Source organism: Homo sapiens, chromosome 13 (genome assembly GCF_000001405.40).
Source record: "Homo sapiens chromosome 13, GRCh38.p14 Primary Assembly".
Lineage (NCBI taxonomy): Eukaryota > Metazoa > Chordata > Mammalia > Primates > Hominidae > Homo > Homo sapiens.
In genome coordinates this window covers 18846698-18868225 of record NC_000013.11, presented here as the reverse complement: position 1 = coordinate 18868225, position 21528 = coordinate 18846698, and the positions used below count along the sequence as shown (strand labels likewise).

At 37.3% G+C, this 21528-nt stretch overlaps 1 pseudogene across 1 annotated transcript in view; it reads left to right on the top strand.

The window, feature by feature from the left end:
- Nucleotides 1-21528, top strand: part of ANKRD20A9P (ankyrin repeat domain 20 family member A9, pseudogene) — a 60825-nt pseudogene that overhangs the window by 3742 nt on the left and 35555 nt on the right. The window contains exons 3-8 of the transcript NR_138091.1: nt 94-149; nt 6682-6712; nt 9353-9422; nt 13364-13449; nt 16261-16289; nt 16382-16454. The product of NR_138091.1 is annotated as an ankyrin repeat domain 20 family member A9, pseudogene (transcript). The remainder of the gene's footprint in view (nt 1-93; nt 150-6681; nt 6713-9352; nt 9423-13363; nt 13450-16260; nt 16290-16381; nt 16455-21528) is intronic.

Genomic DNA, 21528 nt, shown 5'->3' with positions numbered 1-21528 from the left:
GCCTGAAATGGTTTTAGAATTTAATATGTTTGGTAAATATTTTTTATTTCAGTATTAAAATAGCAATTTTATTTATTACTTTTGTATACGTAGAATTCAACAACAAATTTTGGAACATAAAAAGATGATACTTAAAAATGACAAACCAGGTAAGACTTCTGATAGTGAATTTCTTATTTCTCTTGGTGTTCCTACTCTTGATTAGAAAGTAAAAAGTAAGATGTAAGATTAAGGTAGTGTTAATAAAAAAAGACCAGTTTAAAAATATATGTAAATTAAATGTGCATATATGTATATACATATGTAAATTAATTTTTAAAATTTAACTTCTTTAGTTTGAAATTCAGATTTATTTAAGAAGGTAGTTGTAGCTAACTTATAATCTCAAACATGATTGTCTGAAAAAATTCCTTTATTTAATTATGATCCCTAAAATCCTATGTAATATTTTTGCGTAAATAAGAAAAAAGACTTTTAAGTTAGTATGTTGTATGTTTCCTCTATAGTCACATTATAACAAATTGGACTTGTTATACAAATGGATCTTCTATTTCATTTTTATAATAAATTGTTTATATTTAGTAAACAAATAATTACAGTTGACCCATGAATAATGTGGGGGTGAGGTATTCTGATCCCTGTGCAGTTGAAAATCTGAGTATAACTTTTGATTCCTTCACCTTAGCTACTAATAGCCCACCATTGACTGGGAGCCTTCCTGATAACATAAACAGTTGGTGGACACCTATTTTGTTTGTGCTGCATTATTATATACTGTGTTCTTGCAATAAAGTAAGCTAGAGAAATGAAGCGGTTAGAAAGAAAATCATCAGGAATGATATATTGACTTTTCATAAAGCATTAAGTAGATCCTGACAAAGGTCTTCAAGATCTTCAGGTTGATTAGGCTGAGGAGGAAGAGGAGAGGTGGATCTTGCTGTCTCTGGGTTGCAGAGGCAGAAGAACATCTGCATATAAGTGAGTCGCTGCAGTTGAAACCCTTGCTGTTGAAGGGTGAACTGTATTACATATTGATTTGTGTCACTAAGAAAGTAACTATCTTTAGAACCAGGAACTCAGCAATTCCTTTCTGGTACCATAAATAAATGGCAATAAGAACTGTAAAACTGAACCAGCATGCACCCATACAAATAAGAGATTATTTTTTGAGGATAGCTACTGAGCACAGAAGACAGAAAAGCAATTCCTTCATGAGAAGCACAAGTTATATTACATATTCTTACACAAGCAAAATGGTTTTATCTGTCATAGTTTATACACATACACATACACACATGCACATATACACATACATATGTGCGCACGCATGTGCACACAGACACCAAGTTAAAAGTCCTGCTGATTCTTAATGACCAAATCCAACTGTTCGCGGGGAGTGGTGGATAACACATTCTACAGTTTGGATGCAATTCTTTTGACTTTTTGACTTGTTCTGTAATGAACTGCCTTTAATGGGTGAATCATGTTTTTAGTTTTATAAGAAACAAAGAAAAAGATTAGAAGCAAGTAAACAGAAACTCTATGATCAGTAGTAGACTATTATAGTATATTCAATAGTCATATGTTTTTCTCCAGTTATACAATTTACTTGAATGATGCACAATTAATCAATTATTATTATTATAGGAGATGGGGTCTCTCTATGTTGCCTAGGCTAGAATAAAGTGTCTATTCATTGGTGCAAACATAGCTCACTGTAGCCTTGAACTCCTGGGCTCAAGCAGTCCTCCTACCTCATCTTCCTGAGTAGCTGGGACTACAGTTTTGTATGGTTATATCTGGCCTGATACACAATTGTTTATTTATTTATTTTTGATACAGTGTTTCCCTCTGTTGCTCTGCACTGGAGTGCAGTGGTGCCATCTTGGCTCACTGCAACTTCTGCTTCCTGGCCTTAAATGATCCTTTCACCTTTCACCTTAGCCTCCCAAGTAGCTGGGACCCCAGGCATGCACCACCACACTTGGCTAATTTTCTTTTTAAGGTTTTTTTTGTTTTTTGTTTTTTTTTGTTTAATAGATGAGGTCTCACTATATTGCCAGGCTGGTCTGGAACTTCTGGGTTCAAGTGATCCTCCTGCCTCAGCCTCCCAAAATGCTGGGATTTACAAGTGTGAGCCACTGCACCTGACCTGCACAATTATTATAAAAAGGAATTAAGCCCAGTTGAGTTGCAGAAAATTGACCACCTTTTCATTATTTTTTCTAGAAACATTCATATTGTACAACATATTGTCAATCACCCAGATTCTCTGTTTTTTATTCAGTTAAAATAGGATTGCTGCTTATTCCACATTATTTTCTGATATTATTGTGTCATTTATTCCTTTTATGGCTTTATTCCTGTGGATAGATATAGAAATACAAGAATCTCCAAGTCAAATATCAAGGGAAAAAAAGAAAAGAAAAACAGTTTAGGGAAAATTATTCTGTGAAATAGCCATCTGATTACAGTTACATATATCATATCAACTTAATACAAATCTTACACAATGTATTTGTGTCAAGGTTTCCCAAGACCACCCCAGGTTTGATGGTTCACTAGAAGGACTCACAGGACTCAGCAAATAGTCATACTCAGATCTTTAATTGATTACAAGAAAGGGGACAAGCAAAATTAGTAGAGGAAAAAGGTGCTTGTGGTCAATTCTGGAGGAAACCAGGCTCAAGCCTCCAGGAGTTCTCTCCTGTGGAGTGCCCGGGATCTGCTTAATTCTCCCAGGCCCACATTTTGACAACATATGTGCAGTGATGTCTACCAGTACCAGAGTCTCATTAGAGACGAAGTATCCAAGTTTTTCTGTGGAAATTACTCTGCCTTACATGTACCCAAATTCCAGACTCGTACAAGGAAAGCAGATGTTCAGAGTAACCACACTGTTTCTATAAACACTTTAGACACAGTGAGCCACTCTTCTCAGGGAATGGTGGAAACCCTCCCAATTCCAATTTCCTTAACACCAGCCAAGGGCCAGCCTTGCATGCAGGCCTTTCTAAGGATGGCAGTCTCTTGCCTGCTATATGAAATCTTTTCTGCACAACGCTTATAGCCCCAATTTAATTTTTGGGTTTGTTTTAAAATTTCATTTTAATAAGACATAATATTATAAGATAAGGTAACTTGGTACTAATTTCTGTTGTATGATCCATCTTAAGTTGCAATGCTGGTTACTTTTTGACTTTTGGTGACTAACAGGTATTTGTATATAAGTTACCATAGCAATGTTAGGTAATTATAATCTGTCCTTTTTATCTCATTAAGCTTTCAGTAGAATTGTTAAATTAAATAAGCATAATAATTTTTGAGTTAAAATTAGAATAAAAATTGTATTTTATTTTGATTACATGAATAATCTAGTTTTCATATTGTGCTAAATCCCTGTTTAGAATTATGAAATAAGATATTCAATCATTTTTAACAATATTTTCTTACCTAAGCATGCAATTAAATTTATTTATTTTATATATTTCATATACTTCAATTTGAGAAATATAATGACCACATGCTGTCACTTTGGTCTTCAATGATCTCCAATTTCTAGGGTCACTGTCTCTTGCTTAAATATATCATCATAACAGGTTCAGTGAATATCTTTATTTTTTATTTATTTATTAATTTTTTTGCGACAGAGTTTTGCTCTGTTGCCCAGGCTGCAGTGCAATGACAGAATCTTGGCTCACTGACACCTCCACCTCCCGGGTTCAAGCAATTCTCCTGCCTCAGCCTCCCAAGTACCTGGGACTACAGGCATGCACCACCATGCCCGGCTAATCTTTTGTATTTAGTAGAGACGGGGTTTCATCATGTTAGTCAGGCTGGTCTGGAACTCCTGACCTCAGGTGATCCACCCACCTTGGCCTCCCAAAGTGCTAGGATTACAGGCATGAGCCACTGCGCCCGGCCATATTTTTTTTATTATTTTAATTATTCTGGAGATCCTGGGATGCATAAACAGTGAATATCTTTTTTTTTTTTTTTCTTTGAGATGGAGTTTCACTGTCTCCCAGGCTGGAGTGCAGTGGTGCGATTTTGGTTAACCACAATCTCCGCCTTCTAGGCTCAAGTGATTCTCCTGCCTCAGCCTCCCAAGTAGCTGAAATTACAGGTGCCTGCCACCTTGCCCAGCTAATTTTTGTATTTAGTAGAGGTGAGGTTTTGCCATGTTGGCCAGGCTGGTCTTGAACTGCTGACCTCAGGTGATCCACCCGCCTATGCCTCCCAAAGTGCTGAGGTTACAGTCATGAGCCACTGAGCCCTGCTGTGAATATCTTTTTTAAATCAATAACTTTATTTCTTAGAGCAGTTTTAGGTTCACAGCAAAATTGAGAGGAAGGTACAGAGATTTCTTGTATATTCCATGCCTCCAACACATGCATAGCCTCCCCCATTATTAGTATTTTCCACCAGAGTGTGGTACATTTGTTACAACTGATGAACTTACATTGACACATTATAATCACTCAAAGTTCATAGTTTACATCAGGCTTCACTCTTGATGCTGTACATTCTGTGAATTTGGACAAATGTATAATGACATGACATGTATCTATTACTGTTATATTATTGACAGAACAGTTTCACTGCCCTAAAAATTCTCTATGCTATGCCTGTTCATCTCTCCCTTTCTCCCTAGCAACTTGTGGCAGCCATTGATCTTTACTCTGTCTTCATAGTTTTACTTTTTTCAGAAGAGTCATATAGTTGGAATAATACTGTGGATATCTTTTTGAATAGTTAAAAAAATCAAAGCTCCATGGCAATTGAAGGTAGTCATTTAAGATGTTCTTTGTCCTTTTGTTTTTCTTTTGCTTTTTTATCATTGTAAAGAATGATATATGCTGATGAGGTATGCTTTACATACTTAGAAAACATGATTTGTATAGATATTTGGCACATAATGGAAAGGGTTGAGGAAAAGGACACCACGCCGTACCACACAGCACAACCTGGAGCATCTTGCTCTGTGAGGTGGGTCCAGATACACTGTCTAGCAATGGAAGGGGGCAAGCGCAAGGGGTTGTACTTTATAAAACTGGAATCACAAAGTCTTTCATACTTACCTTCGGTTGGAAATAAGACCAGGCAGTGAATGCTATAGGTAAATACATATGTTCCTCACTGATCCTCTTCCTTTGAGGGATGAGGTTGACAACAGCCTGTGTTATGATGACATGACTCACCTACAACTAGATTCTGTTATGAGGGATGGCAAGGGAGTTTTGCTTTATGTGAGGTGAAAAAGAATTTTTTTCTCCTACTAGGGAGAACAGCAAGCATTGGCACATTCTGGTAGTAAAAGGGCATTGATAGTTTTCTTTCTATATATTTTTCACATCAGATAATACTGCCCAGCAGCCTGCCACACCTCCCCAGTGTTTCTTAAGCTTCTCTCTGAATGTGGATAAGCTCTTAAAGGAGTGATCTTTCCAGTGGTTCTTTCTGTGGGAGGTAAAATGGCAGGTGAACATGGGCCTTGTTATATGTAGGGCAGAGCAAATAGCTACAACTAAGGAAACCACCCAGCACCTTCCCCAGAAGAGTATTAGCCAGAGTAACACAGTGGTCTCTCTCGAGCTCTTCTCCACTGGCAGCTGCAAAGTTTTTGCAAGGATTCCTGTTTCTGGTCTGATTACTATGTTTTGCTGGCTTCTGGTGATAGGGTGTTTTATCCTAAACTGAACAGTTTGAACTGAAGAGCTAGAGAGGCTGTGTTGTGTTATAACAAAATAAGTGCAGTAGTTCCCCCTTAATTGTGGGAGATACATTCCAAGACCCCCAGTGGATGCAAGAAACCATGAATAGTACTGAATCACAAACTGTTTTTTCTATACATACATATCTATGATAAAGTTTAATTTATAAATTAAATCTGATGTAATCTGAAGATAGGGTGTGAGAATTGAATCGTGCCATCAGCAGGAATGATTGCTTGCTTTTTGGTGGGGAAAAACTCTCCACACATTTGGTCACAGAAGCCTTCTTTGTTGATGATTGTTGCTGTGGCGTGAGAGCAGAGAAAAACATGTCAAGTATGTCTTTCCGCACATACAGTGGATAAGGGGTACTACTGTATCCTCTAACTGCTCCTCATATTTTGGTCCAGAAATCATGCTCTTTGACACTGTTGACTCATCACACCTGTTCTGCTAACAATACCATTTTTACTCAATCTCATAGGGTTTGGCTAGGATGACTTGTATACTGCAGTTCACTTGTAGATACCAAATTTTAATAAATTTATTCTTCTTTACATCTAATAAATACAAAGGGAAGAGTTCTTACTGCATTAATTACCTACCAATAGGTACAATTAATGTTAATTCTAATAAGGTCCCAGGCATGCTCCCAAAGGAATTCTTTGTAACAAAGCATCAGTCTTATGCTTTTAAAAAACAAACCAAAACAAAACCACCACCACCAACAACAACAAAAACAGGATCTAAAGCATACACACAAGTGTGCACAACTTTTTTTATGAAGGTAGTGTCTTACTATGTTTCCCAAGCTGTTCTCAAACTTCTAGATTCCTCAAGTGATCCTCCTGCCTCATCCTCCCGAGTAGTTTGGATTGCAGGCATGCATCACTGTGCATTCTTATGCTTTTAATATTCTGTACATTTATTATTGATTTAAAATGCATTCTACCTTTTTCTTTAATAGATGTTGGAAGTTCTGATGAATCTGCAGTCAGGTAGGATTTTATAGATTTAAAGAATTATGTTAACTAAGAAAACATAGATGGAAGAAACTAGTATCTGTTGAGTGTTATATTCTGGGCTAGACATCCTAATATGTTCTATGCATTTATCATCTCATAAAGCCATCACAACATCTGTGTTCCTATAACCTACTGTTTATTAAATAAACAACTATGGATTAGAGCAGTTGATTAATTGCCTTATAATCTCATAGTTAACAAAGTAGCTGGCCTACAGTTGGACCGTCAGCCTGCCTGGCTTCCAAATCCCTTCTCTTGCTCCTCAGCATAGATTGATAGACATCCATGCAGCACTTGGATCAAGGTATAGGTCTGAATCAGATTAATCAGATTCATTAATTTAATTAATGTCTAAATTAATGAGAGTTTAAATACCTTAAATACCTTAAACTCTCATTTAAGGTTATTGTTAGAATGTGGTTAGTGGAAGAGATTGTCCAGATAAATTTGACAATTTCAGTGGTAACCAGTATCTTATTTTTACCATCAAAGGCTTTAGGGCAAATCTTACTTAGCTTTGGCCATAGGACTGTAAGTTTTACAAAAGCAAGTTTAGGCAAGTCTTAGAGAGAAATCATTTGACTTCCCAGTTTGGTTTTCCATTTAGGCAAGTATTTCTGCTACTTCCATAATACTTTTGTTAGTCTTGTTTCTTTTTCCATGACTTTTCTATAATCTTGTCTTGATTTTTTAGAACTTTCTTCTCTGCTTTTCTTGCTGTTTCTTTTGTTCTATTATTTTTTAAAATTCTGCTGGGTATGTATTCCCAGTTTTCCTATAGACAGAATCAAGAGGACATAGAATTACAGAATTTTAAGGAATCTTAGAATTAATTAAAATACTTTCTAGTATTTTTACCTGTATTGAACATTCTGGTCAAGTGATTCTCAGAGAATGTGAGGCTCAAAGAGATTAGGATGCTTTTTTTTTAGACATAGGAATTGGCAGAAATGAGATTTGAACTCATTTTGAGGCCCAGTACTCTTCCTTCTTTTTATATCCTATTTGCATGTGCTTTAATAATACAAATGGGAGTGAGTCTGGTGCACCCAGTGGATAGTATGAGAATGGAATTAGCTGGTGAACCCAATGGAAGTAGATAAAAATGGAATGAGCAGGGGAAGGCCAAGTTTGAAGAGAAACAACACTGGATTGGATAGGAGTATGGACTCTTCAATAAGAGATCAAAATATTGGGGTTTATGAGAAGTTTGATAAAGAGTTCAAGGGAGCTCTAAAAAGTTCGCTCCTTTTGTTTAAATCAAGGACTGACAAACTTGAAGAATTTTACTGAAAGATGCTAAAACATTTTGAGACACTGGGAGGAGTGTCTACAGCAGATAGAAATGTAGTGTCATCTACTTCCGTCCTGACTTTCAGAGGGGTGGCTTAGAGCCCCTGGAGTACGAAGGGGCTGGAGATTGCTGGACTACATAGATGTGTGGCCCAGGACAGGTGGCCTCTTCACCTCTGCCTCTGTTCCCGATTCACTGATGTCCTTCCCATGTCCATGTAGGCTGGGTCAGGGGCATGATTGGCTGGCAAATCAGTCATGGAGTTCAGTTGGGTAGTTGGTAGTGTGTCTATGCTGGGTGCAGGTGATGGAGACTCCAGTTAGCTTGTTTTTCAGGAGCAGGGATATAGAGGGCTCCTACTCCTGGTCATTTGAGGCCATCCTTTCAGGAATCTGTGCTTTCATAGGCTGAAGATTTGAAGATTGGAGACTTCTGTGGAGCCCTGCAGAAGTGGAATCTGGAAGTGGGAGCCCATAGGAAGACAGATACTTAGATAGTACTTAGGGAAATAGAGGTACAACTACCAGGACTCTGTTTTTCTGGCAGTCTCTCTCCTTGGGTGTCTGAGTGCCTATGAAAATTTTTAAGGGCTTGCTAGTTTATGTGGACCTGAATAAAGTAGGACCTATAGAGTGAAAATAATGGGATTTTATAATTGCTAATATTTTAATCTTTCTGGGAAAAGTATTCTCAATAAGAACATACACTTTTGTTATTTGATTTTTGTACATGTAGCTTTCATACCTTTCAAATATTGCATGGGATTTCCTGTACCGATTTAGGGCAAAGGAAAGCAATAGGACATTCCTAAGTGGGTTCCATGTTGAGGAATCAAGACTGCCAATTTGAAGTGATGCAGATTAGTCTTTTAACCAGAGATAGATTATGGAAAAGAGACAGTGGATCTTTCTACCTTGTTTTAGGTCATCAGTTTTCTTCCAGTTTAGGTAACAAAATTTATGTCATCCATTAATTGAGTTTTAAGTTCAGCTTCAGGACAGATAATTTGTGAGGGCAAATTATTGTCAGGCTCTGCCAATATATTGACTGTCACTATTTGTTATGAAGCTGAAGGTTAGTTTTCATTGAACATTTTATAGATTTAGACAGGTGGAGGCAGAAATAGGTAACTAAAATCTATTTTTAGAACAGAGGACCTATTTTAATTATATCAAGAATCATAATTTAATATATAGATCACTGACCTTTCCCCAGATTATTCTTTCCTTTTTTGAGGGGGAAGCTGGATATAAACTGGCAGTTAAAAAATTGTAAAGAAATCAACTTGCTCATTTTCATTGTGTATTTTTGCTCCCAAGCATTTTCCATGAACTGTGTGTGGATTCATTGCCTGCATTAGATGACGAAGTCTTGAGTGTTGCTGCTAAGGTAAATTGGTCTCTTGTAAAATTAATTTTCTCACTCTGAATGTAGTTTTGCAGAGTATTTACTTTTCAAACTTAGCAGTGGTTTATCTGTCATTGTTTTATGGTGGTAACGGAAAGTGGGTCAGAGAAAAACATATATATGGCTAGTTGATTGAAAAAATTTGTTTAACTTTGGTAACTAACAAAGATTGATAAGTACCGTGACAGGGTAGGAGCTGAAAAAAAATGAACTGGAAAATAAGTAGTGACAGGAAAATCACATTAGGAAATGCTTTCTCCAATAGAGGAAATATGAAATTTGATTAAGCTTTATTTGGATAAATACTAATACTTTGAGTTTTAAATCCTGTGAGTGTGACTTTCATAATATTTATGCCTGTATAACTCTTCAGTGGATCAAATTATTTGCAGTAATCATGGAATCCTCCTGGTAACTTTTAGTTGCAAAAAGGTTCAGCACATAGCATATAGCTTTTCTTCTTGGAAACTTATTATTTTGGTATCATATAGTTTTTAGGAGAGATTGTTTCTCTACTTATATTATTGGTTCTATAGTGAGACTAAAATAATATTAAAAATTGTAGAAAAATAGCTGAGTGTGGTGGTGTACACCTGTAGTCCCTGCTACTTGGGAGTTTGATGCAGGAAGATTGCTTGAGCCCAGGAGTTTGAGAACAGCCTGGGCAACATAACAAGACTGTATCTGATTTAAAAATATAAATTGTGGAAACATAGAAATTTAAATTTATGTTCTCAAAATTTGTATTGCGAAGGGATTTTTGTGTGTTTTATGAGTTGTCCATGAAGAGTTTATATAAAACACTTCATCTAATTGAATAACATGTATTTTGCTGCAAATAACCAGTTCTAGAAGCAGAGACTCTTAATACCAATATGGTAAGACTTTATCATCATAATTTTGTCATTGTAGTTTATTTAAAATATTTAGTTGGCCAGACGTGGTGGCTCACACCTGTAATCCCAGCACTTTTGGAGGCCGAGGTGGGTAGATCACCTGAGGTCAGGAGTTCAAGATCAGCCTGGCCAACATGGTGAAACCCTGTCTTTAAAAAAAAAAAAAAAAAAAGCACAAAAATTAACCAGGCGTGATGGTGCATGCCTGTAATCCCAGCTGCTCAGGAGGCCACGGTGGGAGAATCGCTTGAACCTGGGAGGCGGAGGTTGCAGTGAGCCAAGATCGCACCATTGCACTCCAGCCTGGGTGACAGAGCAAGACTACATCTTAAAAAATAAAATAACCACTCAAAGTCCTTATATCCTATTCTGAAATTTTGAATGTCAGAAGGTTTTCTATTTAGTTGTTTAAATAATCATTGGAAGCTCCTGCATACTATAGGCTACTGGAGGTCAGTAAACATATTTGTGTGTATCCTGGAGTACCTAGAATATAGTCTTCCATGTAAGAAGCATTTTACTTGTTGTTTTTTGAGATGGGGTTTCACTCTGTCACCCAGGCTGGAGGGCACTGGTGAGATCTTGGCTCACTCCAATCTCCATTTCCTGGGCTCAGGAGATCCTCACACTTCAGCCATCCAAGTAGTTGAAACAGTAGAGCTATGTCACCATAGACCTGTGTCACCATGCTCGGCCGAGTTTTGTAGAGACAGGGTTTTGCCTTGTTGCCCAGGCTGGTCTTTAACTGTTGGGCTCAAGTGTTCTGCCCGCCTCAGCCTCTCAAAGTGCTGGGGTTACAGGCATGAGACATTCAGCCTTAATAGTTGTTTAATCTGAATAAATAGACAAATGAATTTTTATATAATGGAATGTTATAAGTAATATAATATACCTAATGTATCTAACAATTAAATATTGTATTTAAAATATTGCTTACATTTGTATTATTTTTTAATATTTAAGGGAGTATAAGTTTTGATGTGTTATGTTGAGAAATTATGCCATAATTAAAAAGGAAATAAATTAGAAATAGGTCATCAGTAGCAAAGAGGGTTACAATATATTTTCTAGTATCATTGAACTGGAATCTTAACATTGAGATTTTAGATTAACATTTCTTAAGCTTTTTATTAGTCCCAACTCAGGTTCTATTAAATATACCTTTTCAAGCCATACATTACCCTTTATTATTATTATTATATTTTAAGTTCTCGGGTACATGTGCACAACGTGCAGGTTTGTTACATATGTATACATGTGCCATGTTGGTGTGCTGCACCCATTAACTCGTCATTTACATTAGACATATCTCCTAATGCTATCCCTTCCCCCTCCCCCCACCCCACAACAGGCCCTGGTGTGTGATGTTCCCCTTCCTGTGTCTAAGTGTTCTCATTGTTCATTTCCCACCTATGAGTGAGAACACGTGGTGTTTGGTTTTCTGTCCTTGTGACAGTTTGCTCAGAATGATGGTTTCCAGCTTCATCCATGTCCCTACAAAGGACATGAACTCATCCTTTTTTATGGCTGCATAGTATTCCACGATGTATATGTGCCACATTTTCTTAATCCAGTCTATCATTGTTGGACATTTGGGTTGGTTCCAAGTCTTTGCTATTGTGAATAGTGCTGCAATAAACATACGTGTGCATGTGTCTTTATAGCAGCATGATTTATAGTCCTTTGGGTATATACCCAATAATGGGATGACTGGGTCAAATGGCATTTCTAGTTCTAGATCCTTGAGGAATCACCACACTGTCTTCCACAATGGTTGAACTAGTTTACAGTCCTACCAACAGTGTAAAAGTGTTCCTATTTCTCCACATCCTCTCCAGCACCTGTTGTTTCCTGACTTTTTAATGATCGCCATTCTAACTGGTGTGAGATGGTATCTCATTGTGGTTTTGATTTGCATTTCTCTGATGGCCAGTGATGATGAGCATTTTTTCATGTGTCTGCCATACATTACTCTAGAATTCTGGTGACCAATTCTTTTTCTGGGTGGAACGTTGATGGAAAGTTCCAGTTTTCTCTCTCTGTTATAATAATGTTCTTTCAGGTAGTGGTAGATGACCATATTTAGCTAATTGAATGTCTTATAGTAATAAACTCTATCACAGAAGTACTTACAAAAAACTAATTGTAGCATAAATATTAATTAGTATTATCAGGGATATGAAAGACCAAAAGGCTCTGTTATAGATCTATTTCCCCATGTACTTTATTGTACTTCATGTTGTTTCTTTTCTTTCTTGGCTTAAGCTCATATTTCATTGACCAATTAGGCTTCTTTTTTGTTTGTATCTCTCTTCATTCTTACATTTTAAATTGATATTTTTGGGGAGTCAGGGTCTTGCTCTGTTGCCCAGGCTGCAGTGTAGTGGCATGATCTTGGCACCCTACAGTCTCCACCTCTCAGGCTCAAGTGATCCTCCCACATCAGCTTCCCAAGCAGCTGGGACTACAGGCACACACCATCATGCCTGACTCCTTTTGGTATTTTTTGTGTAGAGATGTGTTCTCATTATGTTGCCCAGGCAGGTCTCAAACTCCTGAACTCAAGCAATCCACCCACCTTGGCCTTGCAAAGGGCTGAGATTACAGGTGTGAGCCACCATGCCTGGGCAACATTGAGACTGATTTAAAGAAATTGATTAGGGCTGGGTGTGGTGGTGCACACTGCTTATCTCAACACTTTGGGAGGCAGAAGTCGAAGATTTACTCGAGCCTAGGAGTTTGAGACCAGCCTGGGCAGTATAATGAGGCCTTATTTCTACAAAGATAACAATAGAAACATTAGCATGGCATGATGGTATGCACCTGTAGTTCCAGCTATTCAGGAAGTTGAGGTGGGAAGATTGCTTGAGGTCAGGAGTTTGAGACCACAGTGAGCCATAATCAGGCCCCTGCATTCTAGCCCTTGGTTGACAGAGTGAGACCCAGTTTCATAAAAAGAGATTGATAAGAAGCTCTTGATGCAACTCATAATTTTAAAATGGAAACTAATTCTTGATATTACCTTAGCAGTGTGTCCCCGAGAAAGTGTCAGAGCCTTTATGTGGACCTTCCCATGGAAAAGGAAAACAGAATAGTCAATGGAAAAGGAGAAGGTGAGAACTGTATTTTATTTAAAAAGTCATTTGTTGGAGGCTGGGTGCAGTGGCTCACACCTGTAATCCCAGCACTTTGGGAGGCCGAGGTGGGCGGATCACAAGGTCAGGAGATCGGGATAATCCTGGCTAACATGGTGAAACCCCATCTCTACTAAAAATACAAAAAATTAGCCAGGTGTGGTGGCGGGCCCCTGTAGTCCCAGCTACTTGGGAGGCTGAGGCAGGAGGATGGTGTGAACCTGGGAGGCGGAGCTTGCAGTAAACGGAGATCACTCCACTGCACTCCAGCCTGGATGTCAGAGTGAGACTCTGTCTCAAAAAAAAAAAAAAAAAGTCATTTGATGGAATGTTTCTTTGAAAATATGAGCACTAATAGAGTCTAATAGCTAAAGAAAATGTCCTATTAACTGTATAATAAGTAAAGGAGAAGTGAAATGGTGATAAGTTGTGTCTCTAACCAAGGGTCAGCAGTTGATTCTATTGGGAGTACCACTAAAGGAGCTGAGTTGTGGGTTCCATTTTAAGATACTCTAAGACCTGAGGCAAGTCAGGAGAGAGGGAAGAGGAAATGAATAAAAGAGAAAGAAAGATGAGGAGGGCAGAGTATACATGGAATAAATAAAAACACATATGCGGATGTATGTAATAGAGGGTAGTAAAGTCTAATTGATCTGTAGAAGAAGGAAGAACAGGGTGTTAGGAATAGGAAGGAAGATAAAGTGAGCTTCCCGTACCAACATATGTCAGAGAATTAGAGTAACATTTTCCTACTCTTGCTGTCATCCTCACTACTGGGGAGGCATTAAGGATTGAGGTATTTTACCACACAGACCTGTGTTTTATCTACCATAGATGAACATCACCATAAATGGTCAGCCATGTATGGCTATAATTTGGTTTTAAAGAAAATGTTGTAACCTCATAGGATAGTATCATATAGGCCAAATTAACATAATTGAAAATAATAGTGTTGGGTGATGTATGGAGAAGAAATTAATTAGAGAAGGTATTACCTGATTAAAAGTTCATTAGAAACATTATGGCTTATAATGTAGTATTAAATTCAGAGACATAATAGGGAAGAAATTGAGTCTAGGCCAAAAAGGGCAATTAGGGTAAACTAATATGGAAGCACATAAAGTGTAAAACAGGGCATTCAGATAGTCATGAATTAGTTGAGGAACTTCTGGAAACTGCACATTCTGATTTAGCAGGTATAGGAGTCTGCATTTCTCATGAGTACTCAGGTGATGTTGTTGCTGGTCCTTGGACACAGCTCTGAATAGCAAGGGAATAGCCTTCCTTTAGAGAAATCTGGAAAAAGAACCACTGGAGAGCAATTTGAATAATAGCAGAATCCAGGGAAAGCATTAATTTCCTTTTATTTCTGAGCACGATTCTAGCCACAGGGGAAGGAAAATGAGATGAAAAAAGAGAGATTACAGGTGTATACTACTGCTGAATACAGATGAAAAAAGTGGTCACAATTATCCATAAAAAGCAGTTAGGAAGGGAAGCATCAGGATGACAGATCTAAAAATCACTTTTTCAAAGGAAGAGGGATTGTGAAAGGACACAGAGGGAGGAAAGAAAGACATTTGCTGGGGTCTTGGGAGTTAAAGCCAAGTAAACTTGAGACAACTCACTTCCAGTTGCTTCAGCATATGCCCAGTCTCACAAAAGAGGTTATTGCTGTGGAGAGTACTGGAGGCAGGAGGGAGTGCTAGAATTGGGGTAAACCACAGCAGCTCATTTCACTTCATAATTGTCAGGCCTCAGAGAGAGAAGTTTCATTGACATGAGTGAATAAGATGTGATTAAGTTGCATATAGATGCTTTGGCTAATTTTTTTTGAGACAGCCAGTTCTTTGATATGATAGCTGCTTTATAAAAGTCCTTTACAGTGTAAGATGATATACCAAACTTAGTTAATTTTAGAAGCAATTGTATTATAAAATTCATTCTGTGAATACCAAAATACTCATTTTCAATAAGTACTGCACTGATTTTGAAATATAAATGTGTATTCGTATCCAGCAAGTCTGTGGTAATTCAGTGTTTTCTTTTTTGATAAATATTTTGATATTGGAAGCTTATTCGACATGGTTTATTTGATGTGTTTTATGGACCACCTCGCACAAGTGGATCAAGGAGCTCTAACTCAAGGCCAAATGAGGGGATAGGAGAAATGTAGGTGCTGCAGTAGCCCATGTGATCATGGGAAAAATGAGTATTTTGATTAGCTGTTATTTCATAAGTGTGCGTCCTAGCTGATCAATGTAGAACACTTTCTTTGATGAGAGGTGAATCACACATTCACCTGAACTGTCATCCCAACTGTGTATTTCCTCAGCGACAGGACAAGGGGAATTTATCTGTGGTGTGCTGGCAGCAATGCCTCTGATGTGTTGAGTTAAAATACTCTGTACATTCACCATCAGCTTTGACATCGATTCCCTCAGGTTTGATTTGCTCCTCTGTTTAGTGGTCCCTTTTCTCCTCATCAGCCCACGTGTTCACAGTGATATCCATGCTTTTCTATTTTAGGTATAGACATTTGAAACATAATCTCACTACTGAAATGTAAGCTGTGCATTTTAGGAATCCTGTATTCCTATTTTCCTCATTAGGTTTCTGTCATGTTGCTGTCCTAGGCAATGAAAAGAAGAAGCCAAGAAGAACCCTCAAAACCTTAAGTAATTATTTTCATAGCCAGGCATGAGAATTCAGCTCGATAGTAACACTGCATGAATGGTTGGCCCTGTCATACTTACATATAATTGATGACATATCCCTTTTGCTTTGTAGGGCCTCCTGCAAAACATCCTTCCTTGAAGGTAATTAATTATGTATATTTTTTGAATCACTAACTCCACATTGTATAAAATATATATGATTTATGAATCATTTTCTTTTAAAACCCATTCAGCCTAGCACTGAAATGGAAGATCCTGCTGTGAAAGGAGCAGTACAAAGAAAGAATGTACAGACATTGAGAGCAGGTACATATTCAATACAAATGGAATGCCGGAAATAAGTACATTCAATGATTGGAAGTACTCACATTATTCTTACCCCTAATTCTGTTTGTTCAAAACTGAATGGAAGGCATTGACGTAAATGTTATTGTTGGTATCCATATTTGAATAACAATAAATTTAGAAGCATAAAAAAGATTTTAAAAATGTAAGCTTTAACTCAGATGTTTCTCTTTTAATGTTTTGAATAGCATGAAGTTTTCAGTATAAAATTTTTATACTTGTCAGGGATTAAAAGCACTGAATTTTGAGACTCTAAGATATTTCCATTGATTTATGTGCTAGTTGGCGCTCTGATCTTTACGTAGAGGAAAGCTTTTCTTATTAACGTGTCAGTTTCTGTTTTAACTTTAGAGGCTTGCTGCTAGTGTTATTACACTGATGATCTGAAGCCAATCAGATGTTCTAGTGAGCAAGACTGTGTGTGGATGTGGATGTATAGGTGTGTGTATGTGTGTGTTTGTGGCATCTTTGACTACTAAAAATGAGGAAAGTAATTATTCATTTATAACTGGTAGACACAGTCTTTTAAAACGGTGATTTTGAGCCTTTTTGGTGTTAAGGTTTTTAAAACGTGATTGCATAGCGGCTACCAACATCATAAGTTGGTTGTTTTTCATTTCAATGCCCTTTTGAAATCTTTAACTATATTGTGATGCTCAGAAATAATATGCAGAATTTTTTATTTGTGTCCCAAAATGGTATGTGAGTGGTTATACACTTTACATACCTTTCTGCCACTTTCTTTGGTGTATTTTGTATTATGTTTTCCAGATGTATCCACATTGATATGATTATCTCTGGTTTAATTCATTTTATACTTTTCATTGTATTCCCTTATACCACTTTACCACATTTAGTTAGACTCTCCTGTTGCTGATAAATGAAGAAAGAAAGAAAAATAAAAATAATGTCAGATTAAGAGGGCTTTTCTTTAGTCAGTTTGTATAAATTAATATTTACTACATGAGAGTTTAAAGTTGAAAAGTTCAGAATACAAGCATGCACCACCATATTTTATAAATGTCCTTAGAACTGTGACTCATGAGCCTTTAGCCTATGAAGTTAGGACAATTCATTTCTCTGAAGAAGTTTGCTGTGCTATTCTCAGAAAAGAAAACTGAAAATAGCAAATGATATTGTCTTATTTGACCTCTTGGACATCCTTGAATGAAACTGAAACTCTAGGGATACTCGGATCAAAATTCAGAACTAATGTTTTGAACAATATAGTTTGTGAATGTCCAGTGATCATGAGCCCTTGATGGGGAAATGACCTTTCAAGTTTCACTTTTGCATTTTTTGCTCTTTTCCTTGACTTGTCTTAAAAGCTTAAATTCAACCGTTTTATTTTTACAGAAACCAGGAATATAACTTTTAAAATATATGTCTGTCCTGTCTCACGGTGGTGTGTACTCTTCAGATCTTTTGTGAACATAGACTTATATGGGAACAATTATGTTTTTTGTTTGTTCGTTTGTGTTTTTGAGACAGAGTCTTGCTCTGTCACCAAGGCTGGAGTGCAGTGGCTCAGTCTTGGCTCATTACCACCTCTGCCTCTCAGGTTCAAGCAATTCTCCTGCCTCAGCCCCTTGAATAGCCGATACTACTTGCACGTGCTACCATACCCTGCTAATTTTTCTATTTTTAGTAGAGATGGGGTTTCACCATGTTGGCCAGGCTGCTCTCAAACTCCTGACCTCAGGTGATCTGCCCACCTCGGCTTGCCAATGTGCTGGGATTACAGGCGGGAGCCACTGTGCCAGCTACAAATAAGATTTTTAAGGCTATTATATTTTATACAATTCTTTGGTTTATGTGAATTCTGAAGGCTTTCATGCATTGAGGGAAGATTATATCAGTTTAATGAAAGCAGTTTTTAATTTAATGTATATTCATTAAAATTTTTTTTGAAGTTTTTGTCTCTAGTACATAGAAATACACAATAATGTCATGGGTATTTGACCTTTATGTGTTTATGCACAAACTTAGTTATTCAAATATTTTCTTATCCCTAAAGAATCTTAATTACTAATAAACAAATTTCTCATTGAAAACAACATATATAATAGAGATCGTTGAGTGATTGAAAGTAAATTGTAGTAAATAACAGAAGCTTAGAACAAGTTAAGTAAACTTGTCTGAGTTAATAGCAATTACAGGACTTTTAAAATATGTTAGACCATGAGGGAGTGGTGTGTTTGTGGGGTAGAAGACAACATGGTACTGCTTCAGTGAAGAAAGAACTTTTACAACTTATTACAATTTGTATTACTATTTACATTCTAATAAATAAAAACTTTATTTTCAGATATTTTAGATTATGTTTCTACTAGTTGAACCATCAATAGTAAGACTTTTCAAAGATTTGGGAAGTTGTGAGTTGACGATAAATATCTGTATCGCCATCCGTGATCAAAAATCAGACAGCAACTACAGACTTTGGACACGCGAACTTCATAGTTAAAGAAAGGATTAATTTTGGAGCTGTGTTTCTATCAGGGAATTATACTCTTCATTGCCTGCATGAATCGCAGTTATTAGAGTAGAAAGAGAGCAAAGAAGGGAAAGAAGCATAGAAAATTTTATTCTAGATTACCTCGGTTGGCTTCATGCTACCATAGTTCTGACTTTTAAAAAGTCATTTTGTGATCAAAGGTACTTTGTGTTTACTCCCCTTATGCAGGCTACAACCAAACAGAATGGTTCTTAGCAAGGCATTTGTATTCTTCCCTTAAGGAAAGCAACATATAAATAAAGAGAATGAGGAGAAAGAGTGATTTCATTGAGGTTGTTATTTAACATAAATTTGAGTGTGGGTACCATGATTATATTTAGAATTTTGGGACTGGATGGGAAAACCAGCTAGACATCTACAGATTCCCTACTCAAACACAATGTGCCTTTGTTTTATTTTTATATCTCTAATTTTGCAATTATTCAGTACAACTGTATGCAGTGTCACTAAAAATACCTTCCCAAACCAAATATTAAATAATGCCTATGGCTTTCTGTTTTATAGTGTTGATTTTCCCAATATTAATGGGAACCATTGAGCATTTGCCTTGTGGTGTCTCCTCAGCTGTATTCACACATTCCATCACCTTGTCTTAATGGATAATCATACACTAGGAGTACGGTTTTCAGAAGAGCTGTGTCATTTAAAGATAACACAGGAGCATCAAATTTAATTCTGCTAGAACACCTGGTCTACTGATTAACTGCAGCTAATGTGGGGTCTACTTCACATACAAGTTAAATTCAGTGCCCTTAATCAGTCATATGATCAGGTCAACAGTAATAAATTATGCAATATTTTCCCCCACCCCTATAGTTTTAATTTCTTTTTCCCCTTATGTCTAGAATTAACATTTTGTTTTATAAAACATGATGATAATCTTCTAGAGTAGTGATGACAAGCTATAAATCCAAAGTTTGTTACTTATGCAGATGACTTGTTTGCTTCTATTTTCTCATGAGCTTGGTAGATCCAGGAAACAGAACTTTTAAAACAAAATCCCCATATGTGGCTGGGCGCGGTGGCTCGTGCCTGTAATCCCAGCACTTTGGGAGGCTGAGGCGGGTGGATAACCTGAGATTGGGAGTTTGAGACCAGCCTGACCAACATGGAAAAACACATCTCTACTAAAAACACAAAATTAGCTGTTCATGGTGGCAAATACCTGTAATTCCAGCTACTTGGGAGGCTGAGGCAAGGAGAATCGCTTGAACCTGGGAAGCAAAGGTTGTGGTGAGCTGAGATCATACCACTGTACTTCAGCCTGGGCAGGAAGAGTGAAACTCCATCTCAAAAAACAACAACAATGACAACAACAACAACCAACACAAAACCCAAATGCATTTCCTTGGCACAGTAAAACTGAAACAGAAAAAGTGTAAAGTAAATACAAGTAACTGAAACAGTTTATGTATATTATCTTACTTCTCATTTGATAAAATTTGTAAAGTAATGAGCAGAGGGTATTTCTCCAGGGACCTGGATATATACATTTATTCATTCAATAAAAATTCATTCTTATAATGGCCACTGATACTTGTATCCTAATCATTTCTGAAAACATCTCCTCAGGCCTGCATCATCTTTGCAACATTGCCATATTTTATCTTTGTTCATTTATTTATATGCCTCAGAATTTTATGCTCCTCACAGTATTTAGAGTTAATTATCTCTAATGTAAATAGATCCATGAACCACTCCTGAATACCTAATGTCCAAGCATCTTAAAGCTTTATATAAGGATTTCAGAAACTGACTTCTGGGTTGGGCACGGTGGCTCATGTCTGTGATCCCAGCACTTTGGGAGGCTGAGGCAGGTGGATCATTTGAGGTCAGGAGTTCAAGACCAGCCTGGCCAACAAGGTGAAACCCCATCTCTAATAAAACACAAAAAATAGCAGGTGGTGGTGGCATGCACCTGTAATCTCAGCTACTCCGGAGGCTGAGGCAGAAGAATTACTTGAACCCAGGAGACCGGGTTGCAGTGAGCCAAGATCATGCTACTGTGCTCCAGTCTGGGAGACAGAGTAAGACCTTGTCCCAAAAAAAGAAAAGAAAAGGAAACTGATTTCTGCCCAAATCTCTATCCGTAGCCCTTTCCCCATCTGCCTTTTTCTCTGGAATTACTCAGCTGCTGGTAATGGCCCCCTCACCATTCCTCTTTTGCAGAGAAATACATACTCTCTTGGAGGCTTCTCTCCCTCTCTTGTTGCTGCCTGGCATGTGCTAACCCTTTCCTGCCCTCTGCCTCACTTAATCTGGCGAACCTCACTCTCTAATTCTCAGCTCATGCATGATCTTTAGGAAAGCCATCCCTGACAGCTTTTATGTTCCTTCCTTATACCCCAGTGCCTAACACTTAGCAGGAACTCAATAAGTAATTATTTAGCAAAATTAAGACTGTTTATACAAAGATGATTCAAAAGATTGTCCTCTACAGTCTAGCAGCAAAGGGGATTGACATGTAAAGACATGATGTGCAGTTCAGGTGGTAAAGTGACACTAGAAAAATTGACAAAG